General features: G+C 42.1%; 2 annotated features.

Moving 5' to 3' along the window:
• Positions 5,604–6,531: an enhancer, noted in NCBI's record as "NANOG-H3K27ac-H3K4me1 hESC enhancer chr2:19973852-19974779 (GRCh37/hg19 assembly coordinates)". NCBI's record gives its function as "activates a minimal SCP1, AML or CMV promoter by ChIP-STARR-seq in primed H9 embryonic stem cells {active_cell/tissue: H9 hESC(primed)}" and the evidence as "EXISTENCE:reporter gene assay evidence [ECO:0000049][PMID:30033119]".
• Positions 6,532–7,458: an enhancer, noted in NCBI's record as "NANOG-H3K27ac-H3K4me1 hESC enhancer chr2:19974780-19975706 (GRCh37/hg19 assembly coordinates)". NCBI's record gives its function as "activates a minimal SCP1, AML or CMV promoter by ChIP-STARR-seq in primed H9 embryonic stem cells {active_cell/tissue: H9 hESC(primed)}" and the evidence as "EXISTENCE:reporter gene assay evidence [ECO:0000049][PMID:30033119]".

Consider the following 9,440-nt stretch of genomic DNA (forward strand, 5'->3'; position numbering starts at 1 on the left):
TTTTTCCATAGATTATATGATCTCATGCAAAGAAAAATCCCAAAGATTTCACAAAAAGCTATTAGAGCTAGTATATAAATTCAGTAAAGTTGCAGGAGACAAAATCAACCCACAAAAATTGACTGTGTTTCTGTACACCAGCAATGAACAATCTGAAATGGAAATTAAGGAAATAATTCATTTATAATAGTATCCAAAAGAATAGAATACCTAGGAACAAACTTGACAAAGGAGGTAAAAGACTTGTACACAGAAAACTACAAAGCATTGCTGTAAGAAATTAAAGGAGACCTAAGTAAATGGAAAGATATCCTGTGCTCATGGTTCAGAAGATGTAATACTGTCAAAGTGTCAATACTACTCAAAGAAGTCTACATATTCAATACAATCCCCATCAAAATTCCAATGGCCTTTTGTGCATAATGGAAAATTCAATCCTTAAATTCATATGAAATTTCAAGGGGCTCCAAATAGTCAAAACTGTCTTGAAAAAGAAGACAGTAGGAGGACTGACACTTGCCTATTTCAAAACTTACTATAAAACTATAGTAATCAAGACAGGGTGGCACTGGCATAAGGATAGACACATAGACTTACAGAATAGAATTGGGAATCCAGAAATAACCCTATAATTCTATCACTAACTTTTATTTTTAACAACAGTTTTAAGACCATTCAATGGAGAAAGAATACTCACTCCAACAAATGGCTCTGAAACAACTGAATATCCACATGCAAATGAATCACGTTAGACCCTACCTTATACCACGTACAAAAATTAACTCAAAGTGGATCAATGACTTATATATAAGACCTAAACCTACAAAATTCTTTGAAGAAAACATAGGGGTAAATCTTCGTGACTGTGGATTTGGCAATGGATTCTTAGTTATGCTTAGATATCTAAGAATAAGCAACAAAAGAAAAAACAAATACATTAGACCTCGTCAAAATAAAAAAAAAAGTTGTGGATCAAAAAAAGAACATTATCAAGAAAGTAAAAGAAAAACCTACAGAATAAGAGGATATATTTACAAATCATGTATCTGATAAGGCTCAAAAAGACAAACAACTCAAATAAAAATGGGCAATGGACTTGAATAGGCATTCCTCTAAAGAAGATATACAAATGGCCAAACACACATGAAAAGATGTTCAACATCTTAGTCATTAGATAAATGCAAACCAAAATCATGATGAGGTACTACTTCCCAACCACTGGGTGGCAATAATCAAAAGATGAAAAATAACATATTTGCAAGGATGTAGATAAATTGGAACCCTCATATGTTGCTGATGAGAATGTAAAATAGTTTAACTGCTGTAAAAAACAGTTTGACAGTTCCTCAAAAAGTTAAATAGAATTGGCATATGACTGCAATTCCATTCCTAGGTGTATACCCAAAAGAATTAAAAACAGGGGCTCAAATAAGTACATGTACACACATGTTCATAGCAGCATATTCACACATCCAAAAGGTGGAAACAGCCTAAATGTCCATCAATGGAGGAATGAATAAAGAAATTATGGCATATACCTACAATGGAATATACCAATTATTCAGCCATAAAAAGAAATGAAGTACTGATACATGCTATAATGCTGACAAATCTAGAAAACATTATGGTAAGTGAAAGAAACCAGACATGAAAAGTCACATATTGTGTGACTCTATTAATGTGAAATATCCAGAATAGATAAATCCATAAGGACACAACACAGATTGGTGGATTGGTGGTTTCCAGGAGCTGGGGGTATTGAGTATAATAGTTGGATTCTGCAGAGAAACAGTGTGTGTGTATGTGTGTGTGTGTGTGTGTGTGTGTGTGTGTGTGTGTGTGTGTATCTCCAATTATTTTATACATATATATAGATATATATGTATACATATGGGGGAAGCAAGAGTTATTTTAAGAAATTGGCTCACATGATTGTTGGTGCTCCCCAGTCTGAATCTGCAGGGCAGGATAGGCTGGTGATTCAGTGAGAAGTTGTTACTGCAATCTGAAGACAGTCCAGAGGCAGAATTTCCTCTTCCATGTTGTATTAGTCCATTTTCACACAGCTGTAAAGAACTTTCCTGAGACTGGGTAATTTATAAAGAAAAAAGGTTTTACGGACTCACAGTTCCACATAGCTGAGGAGAGGCCTCAGGAAACACAATCATGGTGGAAGGCAAAGGAAAAGCAAGTACCTTCTTCACAAGGTGGCCAGAAAGAGAGAGAGTGAGAAGGAGGAACTGTCAAACACTTATAAAACCATCAGTTCTTGTGAGAACTCACTCACTATCAAAAGAACAACATGGGGGAAACCACTCTCATGATCCTGTCACCTCTTACCAAGTCTCTCCCTTGACACTCAGGGATTATGGAGATTACAGTTTGAGATGAGATTTGGATGGGGACAAGGAACCAAACCATATCACTCAGGGTACATCAGTCTTTTTCCTGTTAAGGTCTTCTACTTGGATTGATTGGATGATGCGCACCCACATTATAAAGGGCCATTTGCTTGACTCAAAATCTACTGATTTAAATGTTCATCAGATCTTAAACTAATACCTTCACAACAACATCTAAACTGGTGTTTGACCAAAGACTAGGTACCATAGCTTAGCCAAGTTGACACATAAAATTAACCATCACAGAGGGAATGGGAAAAACTGTTTAATGGGCATATTCATCTCCTAGGGTTACCATAACAAAATCCTGCAAACTGGGCAGCTTACACAGCAGGAACTGATTGGCTTATAATTCTGGGAGCTAGAAGTCTGAGATGGAGTTCTCGGCAAGATTGGTTCCTTCTGAGGGATGTGAGGGATAAACTGTTCCATGCCTCTCCCCAGCTTCTGGTGGTTTGCTGACAATCTTTGGTGTCCCTGCCTTCAGTTGTATCACCTCGATCTCTGCCTTGTCACATGCTGTTCTCCCTATGTACGTGGCTCTGCATCCAGCTTTCCTCTTCGAATAAAGACACCAGTCACATTAGATTAAGGCCCATCCTAATGACCTCTTTTTCACTCAGTACATCTGAAAGGACCCTATTTCCAAATAAGGTCACATTCTGATTTACAGGGGGTTGAGACTTCAACATCTGAATTCTGGGGGGACGCAATTCAACCCACAACAATGAATAAGGGGGTTTGCTTTGGAGCAATATAAATGTTTTGGGACCAGAAAGAGGTAGACAAAGTTATAAATGTCCTCAACGCCATAAAATTGCTCACTTGAAAATGAGGAATTTTATATTGAGTGAATTTTATCTCAATCAATTATTTCAAAAAAGGAAGTGGAGCTTGCAGTGGAGCTTGAATGATGTGTGACATCGCAGAGACCCAGGTGTTGCGGGTAGAAAATGTGGAATAAGCAAATATATGAAGAAAGGACACTGCAAGACGTAGTCATAGTCATAGTGCAGAACAGCTGGAGGGTGGCCTTGGCATTGTTCATCACCGTATTAACATCCCAAATGGATCACATTACCTGAGAAAGTCAAGAGATATCATCTTCACCTGAGAAGCCACTGCCCTGACCAAGACACATTCTCAAGGGGCTGGCTACTTGTCTAGTCATCCAGGAAAATGATGACTACAAATATATGGGCCTGTTGGCATCTTTGGCTCTTGTCTCTCTCTCTCTCCTGGGCATAACTGAAGGAGCTACTTTTCTCTTTGAACTTGACGAATCCCCAAGGGAAAATGCAAATCCATGTAATATGTAAAATGCATAGTGATGCATCTTATGAGGGTGGCAGTGGAGGATAGGAGGGTCTATAATCATCATATACTGTGAAAATTAAAAAGTTTAAATAGTTTATCTCAACCAGGTGCAGTGGCTCACGCCTGTAATCCCAGCAGTTTGGGAGGCCAAGGCAGGCAGATCACTGGAGGCCAGGAGTTCGAGACTAGCCTGGGCAACATGGCGAAAGCCCATGTCTACTAAAAATGCAAAACTTAGCTGCACATGATGGCATACACCTGTATTCCCAGCTACTTAGGAGGCTGAGGCATGAGAATCAATTGAACCCGGGATGTGTGGGTTGCAGTGAGCCGAGATCGCGCCACTGTACTCCAGCCTGGAAGACAGAGACTCTATCTCAAAAATAAATAAATAAATAGTTTATCTCAATTTTGTTCAAAGCAGCCAGCCCATGAACTGCTTGCTACTATTGGTTTATAATGATGTAAGAAACTTGTGGGAGTAGCTAAATCAATATAATGCTTTGTTCATTGAGAAAGTCTTGCTATGAAAAATTAAAATGTTAGCTATAATAAAGAGCTAGACAGTTGATTTACATTTACATTTCACATTTGCATTTACTAAAGACAGTTGATTTACATCCTGATACAAGGTCCTTATCCCCTTGTAGACAAGTAACAGCTGGTTCCCACACCTGCAGTGGTCTGCAAATCACACTGAAAGAGGTACTCACCTAAATTACCCTTAAAAAGTCCATAAAGTACAGTATTCATGATTTTGTGTATATATGAACATTTCAGTTTGAGAAAGATTGATCTAAAGATCTAGAGCGAAAAAAAAAAAAGAACAAAAGGAAAGTGACTATCCAAAGTTATAGGGCATTTGGAACTTCCTGCCCGTCTGTGAGAGCTATAAACTGGAAGCCACTCAAATGCCATCAACAGTAGAATAAATAAATTCCAACATATGCATAGAACGATGATAAAATAAATGAGCTACTATTCGCATCACAACATGGATGAATCTCACAAATGGAATGCTAAACAGAAGAAAGATGGCACAAAAGAGCACATACTTTATTTATATAAAGTTCAAAATCAGTCAAACAGATCTATGATATTAAGGGCAGTGATACTGCTTCCATTTGGGGGAGAGAGTGACTGGGAGGAATCTAAGGATTTTAATGTTCTTTTTCTTAACCTAAGTGGAGTTAGGAGAATTCCGTTTGTAAAAAACCATCACACCATGCATTTGTGACGTTCACTCTTCTGTATGTATGTTACACTTCAATAAACAGTTGTTAAAACATCCTGTCTTTAAGACAACCCTCACGTTCCTACCAGTAATTGGAACTTGCATAGACAGCACCTGCTTTTCTGAAGAGTTCCTGCCACTGTGTATCTAAGCTTCCAACTATAACCTTGATGCATGTCAATAGTGCTGTTTGTTGTGTTGAGGTCTGAAGGCAATGGCAAAGTTGTATCTTAAGTTGTGATTAATTTCTAAAGTCAGCATGTAACATAAATGCACATAAAATGAGTCCACTATATACACTCTGAAGCCAAGTGAATTTGTCCATACACATACACACATTTGTACATAACAGTAGGACTTTGTAAATAACATTTCAGTATTCCCAGAAACCACCTTCAGCAATCCACAGATATACAAATGCAGACATTTTGGAACAGGCTCCTGGCTTTCTCCTGTATTATATTTTGGTAGAGAGCTCATATTTTCTATGCCCTAGCTTGACACCACAGTTAACAGCCTTTTTGACTTTCACTGGAGTTTTATCTCTCTCTTGATGAGAGAAAAGTTTTCTCACTAGTTGGAGCATTCTCAGCAAGAGCCTCCCAAATTCCTTTTCCATTCCCCAGATAAAATATGTAATGGACTCTTACACATCACAGAGCCAAGCCAGTGCTAAGCTCAACAGTCTAATCTTTAAATTTTCCAAACTTTTATTTTTTTCGCTGTCAGAGCTGATATGTGCAGCTGTACAGGTTGTGTACTGCACAATTCTAGGAGGGGCCATTCATTTATAATACTATGAATGGTGTGACTCCTTCCCCTTCCTCCCTCTCTCTCTCTCTCTCTCTCTCTCTCTCTCTCTCTCTCTCTCTCACACACACACACACATACAGTTACAGTGTTGTGAGAAGTGGAGTACAACAGTGTAGATGGAGATATGAGGGCAGGAGGCCAGCTCAGCTTTGTCTGACCAAATCATTCATGGTCCATTCCAGCATTGCAGTGAGTCCCATTCAAACTCTTCTCTCAACAAGATTGTAAATAACCACATGCTTTGGGCCTCTAGTCAAAACTGTAACTGTTAAATTTACAAGAGCACGCTGTAATCCCCAGGAGGTTAATCACCAATTCCCCCTCCCTAGGGCACAAGTCAAAGTCATAGGTCAGGCAGGGTGAAGGTGCTATCTCTCTCTCTGCCCAGGCCTGCTCCTCCTCATTCATTCTGTGGCTCCTCTGCCATCTGTGATCTCCTTTATCCCCCCTGTATCCATGCAGGACCTTGTCCCATTTTACTCTGTCTCATGCTGGTCCATGTCCCTGACTGTGTCACTTCATTGTCTCAGGACTGATAGAATTATTGGACTAAATTCTCAGTCTGTTATTTCTCTGAGTTCAGTTCTGAAAGCACAAAGACTGTTTTCCCAATCCAGCCTGCTACATTGCATTTTTACTGTTACAGTTGTCTGTAACCAGATACTAACCCCCTGCTGTCCGAATTCACATAGAGCAAGGAATTCTGTAGGTGTGGCCCAGTGCAAACTAATTGTACTAATGCCCCTGAAAGAAAAGCTTCTGGGATTCATCTTGCCTGAAACCCCACTCCAGGCTCCCATTCCTCCAGAGACGCTCTCCCCTTCACACATCCAGACACCTCTCCTGCTATTGAAGAATGCGCACTTGGAGCCAGATGCTGCCTCATTCAGGGTTTTTCTGTAGGATCATGTCACTTACACAATTACATTATGAACTTCTCCCTTCCCTTATAGGGGAGGAAAGTTAAAGAAGACGCAAACATCAACTATAAACATCACCGATTGTCCGCCACTGAGCTCCCATTTCAGGGCCAGCTAACGGGGTGGGCTAGAGGCTGCCTTTGAGGGCCAGGTAAAGGGCCCAAGCCGTGTGCTCTGGGGCAGCTTAGAAAATACCCTGGGAGAACTCACCCAACTATGAGCTGTGCCCTCTAAATGTCACCTGTATTAAATAGCCTCTGCTGAGGCCCAACAGCCCTGTCTCCAGCAACCCTGCTGTCCTGGCCCTAGAGAAGCCCACCTGGGCACTGGCAGCCCCAGCATTGTGGCCAAGCTAAACCATGAGCAGGAAAGACAGAGTCCCTCTGGAGATTGATCCCTCTGGGAACTCAGGCTGTTTGGATCCAACGCCGAGCAGACTGGCTCTGTGATGTCTTCAGGGAAGAATTTGAGGGCCTTGAGCACGCCAAGACCTGCCTTCTACATGCTGTGATGGGACCCACGTGTCCTCTAGAAGCCATAAAAAGAGCCATCTCAGCCCCTGTTTTCTAGTATGGAGCTCGGGGAAAACTTCTATGTGCTGTCTTCCCATCACAAGCACCTGGGATGGAAGATGCATATCCCCTAGGCCTTCCAGCAAAGAATTAAAAGCTGTTTGGAAGACTCCGTCTGCAAAAATGTCTGATGTTTAAGTCTAGTGGGTAAAGCCTGAGACTATGGCCTATCCCTAGGAGGAAGTACTTGGGATTTGAGGAAAGCACTGTTTCTACATTCAGGAACGCTAAGAGGAGTCTTGCCACTTGCAGAGAATCTGAGTCACGACCTTTTCCTTCCTAAGACGTCATCCCTTCAGTTATAAAAGGAGAGGATGTTCCAAATTGGCAGTTCATAAACAGCATGCATTAGAATCTACTTGGGAGCTTTTTAAATGCCTAAGCCAGGCCCCCACCTCCAGCATATCTTAGGTGGCCTAGGCATGGGAAGTTAAAAAATTTCTGCAGCTGACTCTGACGTGTCCCCAACAACCTGTAGTTCCATGAACGGAACTTAACATTCTACTCATGCAAATGTGGCCGTGGCATGATATTGCAGTTAGGTCAATTTCCTGACATCAGCCTAGTTGAGGTGCTTTGGTTATGCCCAAGTACAAGCTGCACATTAGGGACAAAACCACATCCCCAAGGCTGAGCTTGAAGATCACAGGCCATTGATGAGGCCACGGCCACCTCTGCACAGGCCAGCACAGCTAGGTTCAAAACAAAAGTATCCCTTACGTGTCTCTCCTTCCATGGCTCCCAAGATCCCTGCTCTCATCCCTTCCCCAACCTGGTGCAGTCCTCTCTTCCCATCACTCAATGAGGAAGGAGAGGCTGTGTTTATTCCACGATAGTGGCAACACTTGCTATCCAGTTATACCAGTTTGAAACCTCTAAGTCTCCTTGGCCTTCACCCTCCGTGAATTCTATTTCAAGCCTCTCCATCCCAATGCCACTGTATTTCTGGGTCAACTTCTCCCTTGCCAGGAATAAAACAAAAGCCCACAGACAGATGTCCTTCCAGCCACTCCACCAATCTGTCCTCTAGGATGAACTTTTCAAACTGAGGTTCTGACTTCAGGGATCCCTGCTCTGGCATGTAAAATGCCGTGGGGAGGGAGTGTATTTGTACATTTTTACAGAGGATCCACTGTTTTCATCAGACTCTCAAAAGAGTTTCTGGCCTAACAAAAGTAGATGAAAGTGGATACCAGGCTGCACCCCATTCTATGTTCTGACCAAGGTGGTCTTGAGGGCAGGAACCACATCTTCACCACCTCTGTTTCCCTGTGGTCTGGCTCAGTGTCTGGCACCAAGGAGGAAGTTCCAGGGGTGTTGAACTGAATTACTAGCCACAGCCCAGCATGATTTCAGCAGCATGGGAGTGATGCCTTAAAGAACTCTCCCTCGTGGGCTGGAAACACACAGAAAACTCTTGGCCCTCTCCTAGCAAGATAACAGCCTTTAACTCTGAAGGAAACATTCCATGTGCATCAGCTTTGCCAACGAAAGTGAGCCAAGCAAAGGTGTCTCCAGCCCGTGGAAGAGCCTTGAGGACACCGTGCCAGCTGCAGCAGGTGATCCACTCTCAGGCATGACTGCGCACCACAGCAGTGCCAAACCACCTGCCCATTCAACCAGCTACAGAATCCCAGGCCTGCTGTTGGATCAGTGGGTCAGATCCAAAAATCCCCACCAGCCCCAAAGCTATCTGCCAATCATTACTACAGTCTTGTGCTCCCCTACAGATGCCAAGCTGTGTGCGTCTTGTTGGGAGATGTTTATAGCTCAAGTTCCAGAGACAACTTGGAGGGCTCTCAGGCTGTAATCTACTTAAGACAAAAATCTATGACATCTCCTTGGACTCCTGCAGCTTCCCAAGGGACATTCCAACTGTACTTAGGAATATTTGATTTTCCTGCATGTTGTACTTCCAGGTAAGAAATCATAAAGGTAGAACAGAAGATGGCTGGACATGATAAGAATGCAAAACATGTGTTTGCTAAGGGGGAAACAAGAGTCATGGAATCCTAATTCCTCAGGTTGATTCCAGCAGTGCAAGCCAAGTACAAAGAGATTTACAGAAGAACCAGTTTGCCTCATCTACATGGTGTCTTCCCCCAGACAGCAGGCAGTCAAGACCAATTTCTCAGCCCACAGCATGGGTATTATCTTCAATGCCCAGGATCCCTGAACTTAG

Source organism: Homo sapiens, chromosome 2 (assembly GCF_000001405.40).
Source record: "Homo sapiens chromosome 2, GRCh38.p14 Primary Assembly".
In the NCBI taxonomy this organism is placed as follows: domain Eukaryota; kingdom Metazoa; phylum Chordata; class Mammalia; order Primates; family Hominidae; genus Homo; species Homo sapiens.